This window comes from Homo sapiens, chromosome 10 (assembly GCF_000001405.40).
Source record: "Homo sapiens chromosome 10, GRCh38.p14 Primary Assembly".
NCBI classification, from domain to species: domain Eukaryota; kingdom Metazoa; phylum Chordata; class Mammalia; order Primates; family Hominidae; genus Homo; species Homo sapiens.
Window position 1 is genome coordinate 129,472,751 of NC_000010.11, and position 20,434 is coordinate 129,493,184.

Below are 20,434 nucleotides of genomic sequence, written 5' to 3' on the forward strand. Positions count from 1 at the left end.
AGAGTCGCTCTGTTTTGGTGGAGGCAGGACTGGAGGTCGGGATCACTTGGCCACATTTGCCACCTCTGGTGCGTCTGAGGTCACAGTGCATTGTCTGTGTGCAGCATAAGGTAGTTCCCTATTCATTTACTAGGTCCCTGAAGTCCTTTTGTCTGTAAAGAGGCTACTGGCTCTGCCACCTGCTTCTGTCTTTTCACAGTAGACATTCTCGACGTGGCAGCATTCTAAAGGTTCAGGTGTGCCACATCGGCCTAGAGTGGGCAGGTGGGCTTCATGTGTGCTCCTAGGGGCACTTGGCAGTTGCTGATAGCCCGAGACACTGGGAGCCTTGACATTATTCATCTGTTATATTGAAAGAACTTCCCAAAGGACGGACACAGGATCTGACACGATGGCAGTGGCCAGGAACCAGCAGTGACACCAGCATGTGACAGTATTTTCCCATGTGTGACGGCCGTTTAGATCACAGCAGTGAGGGGTAACGCAGGTCCGCTGGGTAAACTTGGTCAAAAATGGGAAGTCTGCAGCATTTCGTGTGTTTGTGGAAATGGGCCTTATTTTTATTTGGGGTGTCTCCTTAATCTCCTGTCATGGTTCAGCTCACCCTGGTGGTTATTCTGGGCGTGCTGCGCTTGTTGCCTTGTACAGACCAACTTAGGAAAGGCTCACCACCACCCCATGAAGGAGAAGGCGCTGTGAGTGTCTTTATTTTGCATATGAGGAACCCGGGCCTCGGAGAGTTTGAGTGACTTGCACAGGTCTCCTGGGATAGAGGTAGAGTTTTGTTTTCAACCCAGATTTATTTGATAACCAAGTGCAGGCTCATAACCACTTGTGCCAGGCTGGCTTTGCAACGATGAGCCTGAGAAGCTGTTAGAAGTCCTTTAAGGGGCAAGACAGGGTGTAAACAGACACAGACCTGTTTATGTAGCTAATGTTTTCTGAACATCAATGTGACCAAGTGTTGTCTTTAGCATTGTGGGAAAAGCAATTCGCCCAAGTGTATTCCTGCTTGAAGGCGTTGAGCCGTAGCTGAGGCTGGGTGCAGTGAGGACTTGGGGATGGCAAAGCTGTCCCTGCGTGTGCCTTGTGCCTACCCCGCACCCCACTAGAGAGTGGAACGACCAGGGCAGTGGGGCCAGAGGAAAGATGGGAGGATGCAGAGGGCCAGCCATGTCCCGGGACTGTGCACACGCTTCACCATGTCCCTGCAGGCCAGGGACCCATGCCTGATTCCCTCTGAAACATTTGCGGGACTGTGGCTACCGGTCAGGTTTCTCCAAGTGGCCCAAGGGGTGGGCATTTTGAGCAGAGCAGTGGGACTATGGATGCGGGTACATTTGGGGACCTGGCCATAGTTGAATTTGAGCAGGGTGTGGCAAGCATGTGGGGCTGGACAGGAAGGCAGAGCTAGCCAGTGGGGCCAGGGCCTGCGGAGCCCAAATGCTGCGCTGGGTGAAGGGCCTTGGGAGTCTTGTGAGTGGGGAACACTAGCCTGTCAGTGCTTCCCAGAGAAGATCACGGGGCTGGCAGGGGACTGATTGGGGCAGAGGATGCAGGATGGTGGCAGCAGGCCTGGCAGGGCGGGGACAGTTCCAGGAGGTATAGCTGGGGTCAACCCTGGTGGCTTCTGGTGAGAGCGGAGCAGGTGGGAGTCGCAGAGTGTGGTTGTGAGGGACTAAGTTTAGAATCGCTTTTCTTATTGAGAGAGACGAAAGCCTTGGTGTGTGTGCTTTTTATGTGAGGGAAGCCAGATAAAGGATCTGGCTTTGGAAGGGTAGACAGGCCGCCCTCTGCCCTGCCTGGCATCTGGGTTCTGAGGCGGGAGATTTCCCGACTGCAGCCGCGTTCAGGCGAGGATGGCAGCGGTGGACCCAGGCTCATTACCATTGCTCCCACCCCAGCCTGTCCCTGTTGGGGGCAACCTGTACGTCCTGCAGGAGTCACGGAATTTTAAAAACCAAACCGTCAGGTGTTAGAGGTACAGTCACATCAGAATGCAAATTAGAAATAGTGTGTGCTGGGGCCTTAAACACCATGACGTGTTTCGTGGGCTGGTGCGGCTGAGTGTGCCCCTGGGCAGCAGAGATTGACGAGGGTGGCTGGGCTTCCTCCGGGCCCTGGGCTCGCAGTGGCCTTGTCTTCAAGGGGCTCCCCGTGTGGTAGGGAGACGTGCTTGTCACACCCATACATTTTGTAGGTACTGGTGAGGGCTGGCTAGACTGAATGAGGTGAAGAGCCTGGCCTTTGTTGGGGGGGGTGTTGGGGAGCTTGGTAAGTGGTTGAAGATGTTGAAGAAGTCCCCTCTGAGGAGGTGGCTTTCGAGTGGAGATTTGAACAGTGAGAGGTGGCAAGGTCTGGGGAGGAGGCTTCCAGGGGACGAGTGAGAGCTGCAGGTGCCTAGATGGCTGCAGGTCGGTGTGTTGGAAGCACAGATGGGAGGTCCTATGAGGGTCACGGGGTGGGGTGGGGAGCATTGAGGCCACTGTTGCAGGCCTGGATTCACTCTAGGAGTGTTAAAGCCAGGGTCTCAGCCTCCTGCAGTTGTCATCTAGTTAAAGTCATGCCAGCAGGGCAGGGCTGTGTGTGTCTGGGTGATGGGGGATCAGATGAGAAAGTGCGTGCCACCCTCAGCACAGTGCATGAGAGGCGTGAGGCACGGCGGATGCTGCGGGTCTTATAAGGCCTTTAACGCTCGAGGGGAAGTTCCTAGAATAATGGGCGAAGAAAAGGAATGATATATTTCTAAAAGTTACTGAATTTAGCTAGCTAGCCCAAGAAAAGCCCATGTGTGCTATTCTTTATTGTGCAGAAAAATTCGTTTCTGTCACCATTGTGTTATCATCAGATTAAGCTGTCGAGTCAGATGGATGCTGTGGTTGTGCGGGGTGCGGGCCGATCAGCACACTCCCAGTGCCTCTGCAGGCCGTCAGCCTCCAGCCCAGGCCAGCCTGAGAGGCAGGCGACGTGGGAAGGGAGGGGCTTCCCACCAGGACACAGGAGGTTGCTGAGGAGGTTGCTTCCATGGTGCCACTTCTGAAATAAGAACTGTTCCTTGGAAGGAATGCACAGGTTCTGAAGTTAGTGTTCTTAAAGTTCAACGTTATCTACCCTCTTGGCCATAGTTGACCACCCTGTGGTCATCCTTGGCCCAGCAAGAGCACAGGCTCTTGGAAAGCCACAATCCATGACCATATTCACAGCTGACCAACCATTTGCCAGGAGGCAGGACTTTCTGTGCTAAAATGGGGATGTCCCAGGCAGACTGGGGTGGGTGGTCCCTGCCTCCCTCGGCTCTCATTCCAGGGTCCTCCTGGACATCACTGCTGTCACTTTGCCACTAGCTTGAGTCCACCTGGGCCTTGAGGCAGAAGCAGTCGTTGAATTTTCTTTTTTTTTGGTTCTCCGGAAGCATGGGCTTATAAGCCTTCCTGTTGTATTTTGCCATGAGTGTAATTAGAACATCTCCCAGAGCCTGGGTCACTTCCCTTTAGCTGGACATGGCCCCCGCTGTCCTTGTCACATTTTTTGGATTGTTTGTCACTCCAGAAAGCCTTCAGGGTCATGGTTCTCACTTCCTCAGACATTTTTCTCTTCTGGGTGTGAGGATCTTTTGCTCATAAGACTTGCCTTCTTTGGGCCTGAGACGCTTCTCCCCCAGCTGTGGAGATCATGACAGTTGCAGCAGACGGCTTCTTGGAAAGGTAGAAGGCTCTGGTGTTGGCTGAGGAGAAGCAGCTCCGTGGTCTCCAGGGGTGTCCTGGGTTCCCAGGAATCCCATGGCTCCTGGGGGAACCGCTGCCTGGGGCAGTGCTGGTTCCATGGTCTGTTGGGGTTCCTGGGTGCTCACACTGCCCCAGCTTAGCCGGCGTGACTCAGGATGCTAGGACCCATCGCCAGGCTGCTGGGAGTGGCTGGGTGGGGAGGTCAGCTCTGGCACCAAGGCCATGCTGGGGCTGCAGGGCTTGGCTGGAAGGGGTGCTGCCCTGTGTGTCCTGCTACAAGGGGCCGGGGACCCTCCCAACTCAGGGTGTCCTGCACGCCCACACTGCCTCCCTCTTCTATCTTTAAGACACCTGGGAAGCTTCTGGACATGTCAAACCCACACCAGACTGAGTGGCAGGGTCCACCACAGGAGTAGCTTAGTGAAGACCAGAAATGGTTTTGAGCTGGGCACTGGCACAGACAGGGTGAGAGCCAGCCGCATGGTCCTCGCAGCCTCCCCGCCTGTGGACCCCTCTCTCAGGCCAGGCAAGTCTGTGGGCTCGTGGGACCCCGGCAGTGCTGGCCTCCTGTGTTTGGGCCTCTGCATCTGTGCTCTGCCCTGAGGTTGGGTGAGTGGGGGACTCGTGTCCCTCTCTTCCCAGAGCAGCCTCTGCTCTATCCTCAGGGAACCTCTTCTGACCCGATCCCCACGCAGACATGCTCTGCTGCCCTCTCTCTCAATCTTCCCCACTCTCACTTCTTCCAGAAGCTACTTCAGCCCCCACGATCTCTCTCTGTCTGGGGCCCTTCACACACCACTGTTTTCTACTAGACTTGTATTGTTTCCATCTCTTGATGGTGGGATGCTAGATTGGATGCTCTCCAAGGCCTGGTGTGTGGTTTCTACTGGATGGAAGGCCCAGCACAGAGTGCTGGACACAGGGTGCTGTGGACTGAACCGTGTCCCCAAGATTCACAGGCTGAAGTCCTGACCTCCAATTTGGCTGTATTTGGAGACAGGGCCTTTAGGAGGAAATTAAGGCTAACTGAGTCATAAGAGTGGGATCCTACTCTGCTAGGATTGATGGCCTTGGCAGAGAAAGAGAGGATCTTTTTTCTTAGAAGAGAAAGAGAGGATCTCTCCCTCCCATACCGTGTGAGGACACAGCGAGGAGGAGGCTGTGTGCAAGCCAGGAAAGGAGCCCTCACTGGAAACGGAATCAGCCAGGACCAGCAGCTCTCACTTGCCAGCCTCCAGAACCGTGAGAAGATAAATGTCTGTTGGTTAAGCCCCCAGTCTGGTATTTTGTTACGGCAGCCCAGGCAAACCAATATATAGGTGAATTACAGACTAAAGTTGTTTCAAAGGCACAAAACTCATCAAGGGATTGTGTATGAAGTTGGAATTTGGGGCTGAGGATAACTTTGTCATCAGACAGTGCTCCAAAAAGGCACTGTTCTCAGGTTTAGCTCTTGGCATCCCAAAAGATATGAGTGTATTGCAGTAAAAAACAAGTAACAAACAGAAACCCAGATTTCATGACCAGAAACATCAGTGGTTGTGGGAATAGGGGACAGCAGGCAAGACAGGAGACTCCAGAAGCCAGCAGACCATGGAAAGGCCTGGTGCTGTCCTGGCCCTGGGTGGGCTTGCTCTGGTAAGCGGTAGAGGAACCTGCGCCCTGATGGGAAGGAGAGACCAGCTCAAATGCTGCCAGACTGGGTTTTTAAAACCAGTCTCTACAGGTTCATTGGGATTCTTTTTGTTGGTTGGTTGATTTTTTCCCCCCCTCCAGATTGGTCAGTATACACACACTAATCCAGCCTGGTTCAAAGGACAGCATGTGGTCGTCTGGTTGGACACCAGCTACATCTCTCAGAACCATACTCTTTGCTGCTTTTCAGGCTAAGATAGCTCTCTGAGACTGTTTGGAGGTCTCTGTTGATTTAGGGGCCTTGCAAGACATTTCTTGCTGAAAGCCCCGCTGGCCCACACCTCACCAAATTGGCTTATGTGGCTACTGATGGGGGGACATAGAAAAGGTAGATAGAAAAGGTTAAATTTACTTCTGTCTAACTCACCAATTCATGCTGTGGATTGTAGATCTGCAAAATATATCAAGTTCACAGGGATTTTATGATTGTTGCAAAGGAAACTCAAATTGTCAGCCTTTTCCTGAAGGATCTTGCCATTCCTAAGCTCTGGCTATGCCCCTACTTCTGGCTGGCTGTGGCCTTGCAGTGCAGGCTGGCACTGTGCCCCTGGCATCTGGCTTTGGGGGGCCCAGCTGTGCAGGGAGCAGATGCTGTGGTGAATACAGGTGAAGCCAGAGTCCTGGCTTGGGGAATGTGTTCTGCTTCCTGTAGTGCTCTATTTGAAGTGTGGATTTCAGTTCTTCGTTATCTTTTATTTATTTATTTACTTATTAGCACAGCTTGTTTGTTGTTCAGTTCCATAGTGAGAATCTCTAAGAATATGATTAACCTTGAGGGTCATCTTATCCTGTAATTATTAATGATTGATTCTGTTTATCCTTGAAATCAATAAGAGAGGCATAATGGTTTGGTCTGTAGTTGGGCGTGATTTCTTACATTTCGTAAACACGGTTCTGTGACAGCAGTTGTATCAGTTTATTACCCAGAACATGTTTGATGAATCTGAAGTGTATGATTAGTTTTATATAATTATTGTGATATGTAGTGTTCCTTACATGAGTTATGTTAATATGGCAAATAGTGTTAACATCTCCTGCCACTAATAGTTAGGGTGGGGACATATAATAATTGATCTTCCTGGGAGTGCTGTAATGTAAAAACAATTCAGGCTGTTGGAAGTATATTTTACAAGTATGCGTTGGGCCTTGGGGATGTTATATTGAAAAACCCAATTGTACAGTTACCATGGGAACCCAATTAAAATAGATTGGTTGATTTTTTTTTGTCTTTCATCTTGACCAAAAATCTAATGTATTTTAAATGTTTTCATATGGAATTGTAGTCATATACTGACTTGCTGTGCCAAAGTATTCTGCTCGTTTTTTCCAACTTTAAGCTAAAATAGTGAAAAGTTCTCGAGTGGATCCTTATGAGAACGTCTCCCAAAGAGAATCAGTCATGTTTTTGTGGAAAAGTTTGTGTGAGTGATGATGGTAGAGTGGAGGTGGTGGAAAGCTTTTATGAAAAAAGGGAGAACAAGCATTTTCCTACGAGGGCAGACAAGAACCCTCATGTTCTTCCTTTGGTGGAGGACATGAGTGTGTTTCTCCGTTCTCACGTTTGTAGAAGGTGAGATTAGGTCCCTAAAGGGCCCTCTCCGTGTTGTGGAGGGGTTGGGGTGGGGGTGGAGTGGTGGGGTGGGATCTGTGTTTGCCCTCCTTGCTGGGGGTCCTCACATTGTTTGGTCTCAGAGCCTTTTTGCACAGTTAAAACTTATGAGGGATCCCAAAGAGATTACCTGAGTTATATATTAATACCCCATTAGAAATTAGCAGTGAGAAATTTTAAAATATTGATTCATTTAGACAATAAACCTATTAGCTTTTTGCATAAATAACATTTTAAAATAAAAACTAGCTATATTTTCCATAAAAACCAATTAGGGAGGAATGTTATCAGTTTCCATTTTTTAAAACTTCATAATGCCTGGATGAATAGAAGACAGCTAGCTTCTCCTGCTTCATTCAGTCTGTTGTGATATGTTTGGGTTGAAGCGCATCAAGAGAATCTGGCCTCACTCAGGTAAGTAATTAAAAGGGAATAGTGTTTTAACAGCTTCCTCAGATAATTGAGGATGTTCTCCTTTGACACTACATCAGGACTCGGCAAGTGGTAATTTCCTGAGGGTTTGTAGCAGGGTGCAATCCGAGACCCGCTCTGTGAACTTTTTGCTCTCTATGACGTTAAAATCCACAGGTATGCCTTGCACTTTGAGTGATTTTGTAGCGTCTTTCATCGGCCCTGTGGAAAATGTTGCTTCATTGAGTTATACAGATCTTTCAAATATTGATGTTTCCTAATACAGTCCTAAAAATAATATTTGTTAATATCACCACCTTTCTCCTTAGGAAAGTCATTTAGTATTGGGAAGCCATGGTGGTGGGTACCAGTATTCTAACATTTTAATCATCACTTGAAAGTTCTGGCTGGGCACACTGGCTCATGACTGTGATTCCAGCACTTTGGGAGGCTGAGGTGGGAGGATCACTTGAGGCCAGGAGTTGGAGACCAGCCTGGGCAATATAGCAAGATCCCGTCTCTACAAAAACATTTTTTAAAAAGAAAGTTCCCCTTTTATCATCAGCAGCAGATACTGTCAGTTGTGTTCATTACAGGTACAGACTATTCATTTTTGAGAAAACATCCGCCAGATATGCAAGTCTGAATAACTGTTGTTTGTGAGTCATTCACACTAGCAAAGCTTTTGTTCTAAAATGAAGTTGGTAAGTTCATCAGCAGTCTCTGCCATTTGCGGAGCCCTCCTGGTGGCAGCGTCATTCTGGTTTGTGGCAGAAGTGCTTTGCTGCGCTTCCCGTTAGGTCACAGAATGTTTAGAAGGTCAAGATTTAGTGAAGTTTGATTGCTTCCTCAGGGCATTCTGAAGTGAACCTGCCTGTTGCCCTGACCGTGCCTTCCTCCTAGAGTTTGGTGTCAATATCTTGGCCCTTGCGGAGGCATCCACGGTTTTCCCCAGCATGGCTTCTGTGTTGTCTTTCACCGTGCGGTGTGTGGTCAGCCATAGTTTGTGCAGGTGCCCTTTAGCAGATGGGGGATGTTTTACTCTTTTCTGCAGTGAATATGGTGGATAACTCTCATTGGTTTCCATGTCTTCAACCAATTTTGTGTTCCTGGATAAATGCCCACCTGGACTTGGTGAATTACTGTTTTCATAGATTGCTGGATTTGACGTGTGGATATGTTTGAGGATTGTGTGTCTGTTCATGAGAGGTGTTGGTCAGCAGCATTCCTGGAGTGTCTGTCTGCTTTGTTAGGAGGGCAATCTTGCACTCATAAAATGAGGCCTCTTCTATATTTTGGATTAGTTTGTGTACCGTTAGCATTGTCTCTTCTTTAAATGCTTCATAAGATTTACCAGTGAAGCCATTTGTGTTTGAAGTTTTCTTTGTGAAAATAACATTAACTATGAATTCAGTTTTTTTTAGTAGCTATAGGGCCATTCAGGTCATTTATTTCTTCTTGAGTGACTTTTTGGGATTTTGTATTTGTCAAGGAATTTGACCATTTCATCTAAGTTTGTTGAATTTATTGGCCTAAAGTTATTTTTATATTCCTTTATTATCCTTTTAATGTCTGTGGGATTTTGAGTCATGTCCTTATTTTTATTCCTGATATTGGTAATTTGCACTTTGTCCCCTTTTTTGCTAACTGGTCTGGCTAGAGGTTTATCTGTTTCTTTTCAGAGAGCCAACTTTCGTTACTTGATTTTTCTCTCTTACTGATTTCTCCTGTTTATTATTGCTTTCTTGTGCTTACTTTCAGTTTAGTTTGCTTTCTTTTTTGTAGTTTCTTAGGGTAGAGGCTTAGATCATTTGGTTTTCCTTTCTTCTTTTCTCATATAAACATTTAATGCTAAAAATTCTCTCTAAGCACTGCTTTAGGTGTGCTCACAGATAGACATGCTGTGTTTTCATTTTGATTCAGAGTGGCGTATTTCCCAATTTTCCTTGTGGTTTCTTCTTTAATGCTTGGGTTATTTATTAGTACATCATTTAATTTCCAAGAATTTGGGGATTTAAAAAATATTTGGGTACTTTCCCAGTATTTTTCTGTTATTGATCTGCAGGGGTGAGTTACCTTGTAATCAGAGGACATACCTGTTATGATTTTAATCCTCCTAGATTTGTTGAGAGTTGTTTTACAGCCCAGAATATGGTCTACCTTGGTGGATGTTTGAAAAGTGTATACTCTGTGGTTCTTGGGTGGAGTGCTCTTTAAATGTAGTTGGGTAAGGTTTGTTGATAATGCTCTTCAAGCCTTCTATATCCTTATTGAATTTTGTTTCCCTATTCTAAAAATTATTAGGAGTATTGACATCTCCAGCTATGATTGGAGACTTATTACCCCTTTCAGTTCTGTTGGTTCTTGGTTCATCTGTTCTAAGTGATTTCATTAGGTGCATACATGTTTAGAATTTTAACATCCTCATGGGGAATTAACCTTTACTCTTATGAAATGGCCTTCTCTAGTTTTGTTGTCATATTCCTTTTTTGAAATTATTTGATATTAGGATAGCCACTCCAGCTTTCTTTTGATTAGTGTTTCTGTGGTAACTGTTTTTCCATTCTTTTATGTTGAACCTGTTCTTGTCATTACATTTAATGTGTGTTTCTTGTAGAAAACACAGTTGGGTCTCTTGCTTTAAAAAATCTAATCTGACAATGTCTTTGTAAAATTGGAGTATTTAGACCATTTACATTTAATGTAATTATTAATATGGTTGGGTTTAAGTATACCATCTGGCTGTTCATTTGTCATTCACCAATTTGTTCTTTTTGCCCTTCCTCCATCTTCCGTAGCTTCTTTTCAGTTATTTGGATATGTTTTTGAATGATTCCAATTTAACATTCTGTCTACACTGTTGGCTTGTTAGCTATCTCTCTTCTTTTTTAGTGGCTGCTTTAGGATGTGTAATGTACATACTTAGCTTATGCTTATCATAATCTGCATTCATGTGATATAATACAACTTCACATGCAGAATAAGCACCTTAACAAAAGTATGCTTCAATTTCTCTCATCCCATTTTTTGTTATATTATTGCTACATATGTAATATTCTCCAATATATAGAGTTACTATTTTTATGTTGGGCAATCAGTTTTCTTTTAAAGAGATTTAAAAAATCCAGAATTTACATTTATTTGCATATTTACTGTTTTTTGAAATCCTCATTCCTTTGTGTAGATCCTAGTTTCCATTGAGTACCATTTTTTTTACACCTGAAAACCTTGTACCATCATTTCTCAAGTGCAGGTCTGCTGGTGTCTGAATTGTCATGCATTTGTTTTTGTTTTTTGAAAAAAGCCTTTGTCTCACCTGCATTCTTGAAAAAATGTGAATTCTAGGTTGACCTGTTTTTTTGCTTTTTAATACTTTAAAGATGTTGTTCCATTGTGTTCTGCCTTGCATAGTTTCTGATGATCAGTTTGCCGTCATTCTTAAATTTGTTCTTCTGTATGTAATCTGGCATTTTTGCCACCTCTGGCCACTAAGGTTTTCTCTTTGTCACTTGTTTTCAGCTGTTTGATTATTTGTTTTTATGTTTCTTCTGCTTGGGTTTCACTGAGCTTCTTGCATCTGTGAGAATGGGTTACATATCCCTTATCTGAAATGGTTGGGACTAGAAGTGTTTCTGATTTTGGATTTTTTTTGGATTTTGGAATATTTGCATAGATAGATAGGTAGATAAATAGATATATAGATAGATAGATATAGATATAGATACCTTGGGGATGTGACCCAAGTTTAAACATGGAATTTTTGTTTCACATATACCTTATCCACATAGCCTGCAGGAAATCTTATGTATTATTTTAAATAATTTTGTGCATGTTACAAAATTTTGACTGTATTTCAACTGAGACCTGTCATACAAGGTCAGGTGTGGAATTTTCCAATTGTGGCATTGTGTTGGTGCAGTTTTTGGGTTTTGGAGCATTTTGGATTAGGTGTGCTCAACCTTGTTTTACCTCATATAGATTTTTCATCAGATTTGAGGAAATGTCACTGAATATTTCTTCAGATATTTTTCCTGCCTCCCCTTTTTCTGAGGCTCCAATTGCGCATGTGCTGCTTCATACTGTCCTGTGTCTCCCTGAGCCCTGCTCATTTCCTCAGTCTTTTTGTGTTTCTGTGCCTTGATAGTTTAAAAAACGTTATTTTCTCATTGTTGCTATTTTTTCCTTCTGCTGCATCTAATCTGTACATCCTATCGATTGTATTTTTTACTTTAGAGACTGCATTTTACATCTCTATATGCTCCATATGGGCCTTTTAAAATATCTTCTATTTCTCATGTCATATGTGGGTTCTCCTCTATCTTCTCAAATATGGAGCATGTTTATAAGAACTGTTTTTATGTCCCAGTCCCCTTGTTTTACGCATCTCTACTTTTCTGGGTTTGGTTCTGTTGAATGATTTTTCTCCTGATTGTGGGTTATATCCCTCTGCTTCTCATGTGTGTGTGTTTTAAATGGGATCCTAGACATTGAGAGTTTTGTTGTGGAGTGCTAGATTATGTTGTCTTTTAAAAAACAGTTTTGGACTTTGTTCTGCTGCAGGTTCAGTTTCTTGAAATTGTTTGTATCCTTTCAAGGTATCATGCTTTTTTTAAAAAAAGGTTTTGTTAGGGCAGGTCCAGACCAGGTTTTAGTCCAGGGATAGTTTAGTCCTACTATTTACATAATGTCTTTACTTTATAAGGGTGTGTGTATGTGTATATATGTATGTGTGTGTGTATTATATATATGTATGTGTGTATTTTATATATGTGTGTATTAAATATATATGTATTACATATATATGTATATATATGAAAAATAAGGCAGCTCTGAGGTCTTTACCTGATGAATGTTGTATTAGGAGATCTTTCCACACTGGCTGGTGAGAACATGAAATATTCCCAGCTCTGTCTGTGATCAGGAATTATTTGGGCTGCTACTTCTGGGCATCTTTCTTTGACCTCAGGGAGTTCCTTCTCAAGCAGTGTCTCAGTAGTTAGGCAGAGGCCACAGGGACTCTTCTGGAGATGCCTGGCGTGTTCTCTGAGTAGGCCCTTCTTCCCTGGTACTCCATCCTGATGATTCTAGGTGTTTTGTTCTTTTTGAATTCTAATCTCTCTCCCCACTTTGGTGAGAGCACCCACTGGTTTTGTGCCAGATGACCCTCCTCCTCCTTGGCACAGCCTGGAGGCTGCATCCAGCCGTTCTCTGGCGGCTGGCTCACTTCACTTCCCTTTCCTTGGGGAGCATAGCCCCTGGCTGCTGTTGTCCTTGTTCTGAAGACCATTGTTTTATATAAAAGTTGAGCACCCCTAATTCAAAATCTGAAATGCTACAGCATCTGAAAATTTTTGAACATTGACATGCTGCTCAAAGCTGATGCTCAAAGGAAATGCTTATTGGAGCATTTTGGATTTTTGGATTAGGGATGCTCCAACTGTAAGTATTTGCAAATATTCCCAAATCCAGAAAAATCTAAAACCTGAAGCACTTCTGGTTCCCAGAATTTCAGGCTACTCATCCTGGACTTTATTTCGTTTTAGCTGTTACATGTGGTTCTTGCTGCTCTGTCATGGCTAGAAGTGGGATCCCCACCAAGTTATTAGTGGACTCATAAAAATAAAAGAGAGGCCTGCTGGGCTGTTACCAGACTGAGATTGCTCAGATTACACAAAGCCCTCTGGCCCTGACCCCAGACTTTTTACCAGCCTGAAGTGGGTGAAAAGAAAGCTTCACTGACTGCTTTCTAGGCATGTTTAAGCCTGCTTATTCTGGCCCTCACAGAATAAGAATTCAAAGGACAATAATTTTCAAGAAGACTTAATTTAAGTTCATCTACCTTATTAGACTTGATATAGATAGATAGCCTTTTTAATTTTTTTTTCTCATGGAAACAGAGTTGAAGAAAACTAATTTACCTTCTAAATTTAGGCACAGCTAACCAAGTCAAGGTGTGGTTCTGTTCTTCTCTGTTCTCTTCTCTTCTCTTTTTTTTTTTTTTTTTTTGGTGGGGGGTAGACAGAGTCTTGCTCTGTTGCTCAGGCTGGAGTGCGATGGCATGATCTTGGCTCGCTGCGACCTCTGTCTCCTGGGTTTAAGCAATTCTCCTGCCTTAGCCTCCCAAGTAGCTGGGATTACAGGTGCCCATCACCACGCCTGGCTAATTTTTTGCATTTTTAGTAGAGATGGGGTTTTGCCACGTTGGCCAGGCTATTCTCGAACTCTTGACCTCAGGTGATCCACCTGCCTCAGCCTCCAGAAGTGCTGGGATTACAGGTGTGAGCCACTGCGCCCAGCCGGTTATTGTATTTTCTGTATGCTTTTTGGTCGTTCAGCTCATACTCAGTCTTTCCCTGTACTGTTTGAGAAATTCACAAGTGAATCCCAGATCACAGGTGTTTGGTGAAATTGGTATAAACCTTAACTGACTTTCTGTTAAGAAACATAAAAAAATTTATTTGTATTTCTACTCTGAAGAAGGACTGTTCAAACTTTATATGGAGGGGACCCAAGATTGGGAAGGCAGAGGAAACAAAGGGCGTCTTTGATTCACATTATTTTTCTCTTGTCATCATTGCAGGCTTAAGTGTGTGTCATCACTAGAAATGTATTCTGTTGATGTCTGTCATTTCAGCATTTTCATGTTGTCAAAAATGAGACCAGACAGAAGAAGAGTGTATTCTTTCCTGCTAGAACTCGCACAACACTGTCATTAATGCCTCTGGCAGTCAGGACTTTAATCAGTTAAATGTAATAGTGGTGATAACGTTAAAGCCTTGTATGGCAGTCTACCCGGGCAGCCTAGAGAGCCCTGTGCAACTCTGCATTTGAAAAATCAATCAACTAGGGCTGTCTTTTGTCCTGGGCTACTTGGATAGCTGGTATGAACCACCCAGCACTAGCCTCCTGCTTGTTGAGATGACACTTTTCCTGAAGCCATGCCCACTCTTGACAAAGAATAATTAGGTGCCCTGCATAAGTGTATGGGGACCTGCAGGTGGCTTGGATGGTTTGCCCTGCTCTCATGGGGGTCCACATGAGCATACAGAATGGAAGAAGTCATGATGGTTGCAGTGGTTCCTCAGAGGAACAGTGAGTTTTTCAAGTAGGACTCTGATTATCTGTAAAGGCCAAACTTGTTCCAGTGACATCACATCTCTGGGGTTGCTAGGAAGTAAAGGAGAAAATGGGTTCACTTGCACAGTTTTGGATTACATGTAAGTTTTAAAGAATAGGAATGTGTGTGTGTATGTATGGTATATACACTATATTATCATTACCAAAAATGATGCCTCCTATAGACTTTTGGTAGAAAGGAAATTTCTTTCTCTTCTGGTTGTCTGAATTTTGTTTTCCTTTTTTTTTGCTTCCCTCCGGAAGGGAATCAAAAAATTGTATATATATATGTACACACACTATATATGAAATGCCTGTTCATATCCTTTCTGCCTGTGTTTCTGTTGGGATTTCTTTTTCTTATTGATTTATAGGATTATTTTATATAGTCTGGATTCTAATCCTTTGTCAGGTATATTGGCTGCAATTTTCTTCTCCCAGTTTGTGGCCTGCATTTTCATTTTCTTTATACACTGCTAACCATGTAGGTGTATGTATGTATATATTCTGATTGTGGGTTATATTTCTTTGCTTCTTATGTGTGTGTTTTAAGTTGGATCCTAGACATTGAGAGACTGTGTGTGTGTATATATATACCATATAGGGGTGTGTGTGTGTGTGTGTGTGTGTATATATATACACACACAAACACACATAGGTGTATACGCAGGTATACACACACACACACACATAGGTATACACACACACACACACACACACACACACACACACACATGAATATACCTATATGGTTAGTAGTGGGAAGCCAAGCTGTTTCTCACTGTCAGATGGTTAAGTTTTGAAATTTTCTCTCATTCTACTCAAGGGTAGAATGATTGGAGTGTCAGTGTTCAATGCTACAGGACAATAACTTTTGTAAAAATGGTTAAAGCAGATTAGACCCCAGTCAGTTAATCCACCTCCTCACCAAAACTTGGAGTTATCATGCTACTAACACTGCTAACCTACTGGGTAAAAATCCTGTCTCATAGTGATCTTAATTAGCACTTCCGATTGAGAGCAACCTTCAGCATCTTTTCGTGTTGCCATTCATCTTTTGCGAAATGCCTGTTCATACCCTTTCTGCCCATATTTCTGTTGGATTTTCTTTTTGTTATTAACTTATAGGATTATCTTATATAGTCTGAATTCTAATCCTTTGTCTGTTATATGTGCTGCAATTGTCTTCTCCCAGTTTGTGGCCATGTTTTCATTCTCTTTATAGTGCCTTTTGATGGACAGGAGTTTCTAATTTTAATATAGTTGCATGTAATTGAATTTATGATTCTTTTCCTTTATAGTTTGCACATTTTGTGTCTCGTTTCAAAGTGCTTCCTTATCCCCAGTCATAACAATTCCACTATTTTCCTATGAAAGTATCAGTTTTCCTTTTCATATACAAGTCTGCAGCTCATTTGAAATTAACTTCTGCTGTGGTATGGAGTGGAAGTTCAGTTCTTTTTTAATATGAATAATCAGTGGCTCCAGCCCCATGTATAGAGTAACCCCACCTTTCTCCAGGGCTCTGCAGCGGCTTCACTGCAAATATATGACAAACATGTGACATGTGGATATAGAGCAAGAGAGGCACTGCAGAGCCCTAGAGAAATGAGGAGAGACACAGTAAATGGTGCTGGAGCTGCTGACTATTCCAAGTGGACGCATGCCTTTTTCTAGGCTCTCCTGTTCCATTGATCTTTTTGTCTTTCTGTACTAACGCCACAATGCATTAATTACTATAGCTTTAGGCTAACTCTTAAAATTGATGAGTCAGCCAGGCACAGTGGCTCATGCCTGTAATCCCAGCACTTTGGGAGACTGAGGTGGGCAGATCATGAGTTCAGGAGTTTGAGACCAGTCTAGCCAACATAGTGAAACCCCATCTTTACTAAAAATAGAAAAAATTAGCTGGGTGTGGTGGTGTGTGCCTGTAATCCCAGTTACTCGGGAGGCTGAGACAGGGGAATTGCATGAACCCGGGAAGCGGAGGTTGCAGTGAGCTGAGATAGCGCCATTGCACTCCAGCCTGGGTGACAGTGCAGGACTCTGTCTCAAAAAAAAAAAAAAAAAAAAAAAAAAATTGGTGAGTAAATCCTCATATCTTGATTTTCCATTTTCCTCTTCAGGAGTTTCTTGATTCTTTTGGGGCCTTTGCTCATCCATTCGCATTTCACAATGAGCTTGTCACATTCTTAGACTAACCTGTTTGGTATTTTGATTGACGTCCTTGGGTCTGTAGACTAATGTGGGGAGAATAAGATCTTTAGGATATGAATCTGCCTCTTCAGGAATATGCGCTCTTGCACTCTCTGTCTCTCTTGGATTTCCTTAATGTCTCTCACATTTTAATAAGTTTTTTCATAAACAGCTTGTGCACCTTTTGAAATACTCCCCGTGTCCTTATTTTTTGTTGTTGCCATTAATATTATAAATGGTATCTTTTTCTAGGATTAGATTTTTCTTTATGACTGATATGCGGAAATGCTATTAATTTTCATGTCATCTTTAATTTACTTTCTAATTTTTTAAAATGAATATACCACATATATATTCTTTGTTTTTTCTACATAGACAGAGTTTTGCTTCTTCTACTCTGTAAACCATTTCTTTCTTTTACTTGTCATATTGCACTAGGATCTCCAGTTCCATTTTAAGTCGATGTGGGGATAATACACTCATCTTGTTGCTTATTTTAAAGGGAAAACTGCTAACTCTTCATTAACAAAAATGATGCTTGCTATAGACTTTTGGTAGAAAGAACTTTCCTTCTCTTCTGGTTATCTGAATTTTGTTTTCTTTTTTTTCTTTTTTCTTATTTTGCTTCCCTCCAGGAGGGAAACAAAAAATTGTCAGAAACTATTTCAGAGCTGAAGAAAACTTCTTAATCTCCTTCTCCTCTACTGTTCCTTGAAAACTTTTTAAAAATTATGAACAGGCTTCAAATTTTATTAAGTGATTTTTCTGCATCTATTTAACTGTTTATGTGGTTCCCATCCCCATATCTGTTAGTGTGGATCATGACTTCTAGGGAATTATTAATGTTAAGCTATCTTTGCATTCCTGGGATGAACATTACTTGGCCACTAAGAATCATCCTTTAAACACCTGCTCTAGACCAAGCTTATTAATTTATTGCTTTTAACTTTGGCCAAACTAGTGGTTTAATTGTTTTTAAGGTTATTTATTCTTTATTGTTATTAAGATTATTCTTTTTTAAAAACTGGTTAGGTTAATTATATGAAGCTATATTTTTGCACAGTCTATCTTTTTCTACCCTTTAGCTTTCAGCCTTTGTTCTTATATTTAAAATATGTGTAAAGTAATATAGTTTTAAAAATATCCAGTTTGGTAGTCTTTATTTTTTAATTATTTAGTCCAGTCACATTAAAATAATTATAGTTGAGCTTACTTTTACCATCTTGCTATCTGTCTTCTATTTGTCCCATCTTTATTTGTTCCTGTATTTCTAATTTATTTTGCTTTCTTTATGATTAATAGTTTTTAAAACCATTTTTCTCCCCTTTCTGGTTATACAGATTTGTATGTTTCATTTAGTGATTAGCCTAGAGATTATAATATACACCCTGGACTTACTATAGTTCACCTAAATTGCTACTTTGCCACTTCCTGAATAGTAAAATACTTTACAAAATGTTAGTCATTTCCCTTTCTCCCAGCTTGGATGCTGTTGTATTTTAATTATATATACACATTTAAAATGCAGTAGTCACTTTTGTCACTGTTTAAACGTTTGGTGTTTGTGTCACCGTGCCCCATGCTTGCCCTCCAGTGCTCTCCATTGGTTCTCCATCATCATGCCTTCGTCTGGGGTGACTTCTGCTTGAAGGACTTGTTTGTTTACTTAGTTTTTAATGCTAGTCAACTGGCAGTGAATTGGTCCATTTTTAAACACTAATAGTTATTGATTGTTGAGTTAGCAATTCTTTACCTTATAAAATATGACATTCCATCGTCTTCTGGTTTCTGAAGTTTGCTGAAAAGTCAGCTGTCAGTCTTATTGTTGCACTTTTGAAGATAATGCAAATGTTTTTACTCTGGCTGCTTTTAAGATTTTTTCTTTGGTTTGAAGCTAATTGTGTTATGGTTCTTTGAGGTTTTCTTCATATTTATTCTGCTTAGGGTTTGCTGAACTTCTTGAATTTCTGGATTGCTCTCTGTCATCTATTGGCAAATTCTTGACCCTGATCCCTTCAAATATTGCTCTGCCTCATCCAATCTGTCCTTTCCTCTCGGAGTTGAATTATAGGTAGGTTAGTCCTTTTGACTGTCCCTCGGATCTCTATTCTTGTTTTCTTTCCATTCCTTTCCCCTTTCTTGACCACAGTTTGGATATTTTCTGCTGAGCTCTCTGGCAGATCACGGACCTTGTTTTCTGATGTGTCCAGTCTGTTACTAAACCCATCCAATGAATCCTGAATTACAAATTTTGTATTTTTCAGTTCTAGAATGCCCGTTTTGTACTTTAATATATATTTTAATTCTATATTTAAAATTCTTCTCTTTCCCACTTATGTTGTCTGTCTTTTCCTCTTATTATTAAGTGTATCCATTGTAATTATTTTACACTTCTTATCTGCTAGCACCAGTATTGTGGACATCTATTCCTCTGCTTGTATTTTCTTCTTTTTTCCCTTCTCTTTATTATTATTAAATACATGTTTTTGCTTTTTGCATGCTTTTAAAATTGTGAGTGTTTGCTGGACTTGTGCATAAAGGACTGTAAAACCTCTGGATTGTCGTGTTTTTCATCAAAGCAAAAGCTCTCTTTGCCCTTGGTTAGGCATATGGAGTGAGGGGTGAAGGACCTTGGTTTCATGAGGGATTGATCTGGGTCAGGGCTGGCCTGTTATTTTACTAAAACTCAGTCCCTAGTTGGACCTTCCCTTTGAGCATGGTCTTTTGATTGGAAGCCCATGGTCTCTTTCTCCTCAGCCTGTAAATGCTTTGGGAGATCCCTTGGTTCTCCCCTTAGAAGGTTTTGAGCTGAGCTCTTTAGCTTCCCACGTCCCCTGTTTCAAAGTCTCCTAAATGTCCTGATGGGAGATGTGACTATGTGTGAAGCAGGCCCTTCTCTCTCTGTCTTTCCGCCTACCTTTCCTCCCACCCCAGTCTCGTAAGTGCTATTAGATTAAGGGATAGTGTGCTTTTCCTTTTAGGAGCCCTCACTTGACCCAGCTCTCTAGGCTCATGAACGCAGCCCCATAGGATAGCAAATTGATTGCACTTTTGGGGTTCTGATTCTGATCTTTCATGCCATCCCCAATGGGCCACCCAGAGCTTCCCTGGTTTCCCTTCCCAGGTGGAGTGGCTTTGTGTGGACTGCCACGGTGCTCCCCATCTGCACCCAGGATCAGCAAGTGTTTCTGGGCAGCAAAGGGCAGTCTCCACTGTACAGTCCCAGTCCCCCTAGTCCTGGTTGCTTCCACAGCTCTATAACATTTTAAAAGACGAGTTTTGTAATTTTTCTGACTTTTTCCAGTTCCTGTGGGAACATTGGGCTGCCTCCATTAGTTCGTTTTGCTTGGAAATGAAAGTCCATTCTGAGCACTTGCTTGAAATCTTGATTGAAGTCTTTGATTTCTGCTTTCTCCTTGGTCATGCTTTCTCCTGTCATCTATCTTCCTTTGCCCACACATTTCATAAATGCTTATTTCGTATTCTACACAGGTTGCTTTAAATATCTGCAATCCTGTGGGTGGAGTGTGGGCTTTGTGGTTTTCATCTTTCTGTGATTTCTTGTAACTCTTACGATGACACGGGACCTTGTTTGATGACTTGGTTGATTATTAATTTATATGGGCTGAGCCTGATCTGTTTGACTCCTGAGTGCCTAAATTAGGGATGCTTTTCCCTAAGG

At 42.7% G+C, this 20,434-nt stretch overlaps 1 protein-coding gene across 1 annotated transcript in view, besides 5 other annotated features; it reads left to right on the forward strand.

The window, feature by feature from the left end:
• The window catches only part of MGMT (O-6-methylguanine-DNA methyltransferase), a 303,743-nt gene that overhangs the window by 5,510 nt on the left and 277,799 nt on the right, over positions 1–20,434 (forward strand). The gene's annotated exons all lie outside the window — the stretch shown is intronic.
• Positions 659–808: an enhancer, noted in NCBI's record as "active region_4202". NCBI's record gives its function as "activates an Ori minimal core promoter by ATAC-STARR-seq in GM12878 lymphoblastoid cells {active_cell/tissue: GM12878}" and the evidence as "EXISTENCE:reporter gene assay evidence [ECO:0000049][PMID:35858748]".
• Positions 659–1,378: a biological region, named in NCBI's record as "H3K27ac-H3K4me1 hESC enhancer GRCh37_chr10:131271703-131272392".
• Positions 689–1,378: an enhancer, noted in NCBI's record as "H3K27ac-H3K4me1 hESC enhancer chr10:131271703-131272392 (GRCh37/hg19 assembly coordinates)". NCBI's record gives its function as "activates a minimal SCP1, AML or CMV promoter by ChIP-STARR-seq in naive H9 embryonic stem cells {active_cell/tissue: H9 hESC(naive)}" and the evidence as "EXISTENCE:reporter gene assay evidence [ECO:0000049][PMID:30033119]".
• Positions 2,757–3,445: an enhancer, noted in NCBI's record as "H3K4me1 hESC enhancer chr10:131273771-131274459 (GRCh37/hg19 assembly coordinates)". NCBI's record gives its function as "activates a minimal SCP1, AML or CMV promoter by ChIP-STARR-seq in primed H9 embryonic stem cells {active_cell/tissue: H9 hESC(primed)}" and the evidence as "EXISTENCE:reporter gene assay evidence [ECO:0000049][PMID:30033119]".
• Positions 18,582–18,782: a silencer, noted in NCBI's record as "peak1129 fragment used in MPRA reporter construct". NCBI's record gives its function as "represses an SCP1 promoter by STARR-seq MPRAs in K562 erythroleukemia cells {active_cell/tissue: K562}" and the evidence as "EXISTENCE:reporter gene assay evidence [ECO:0000049][PMID:32103011]".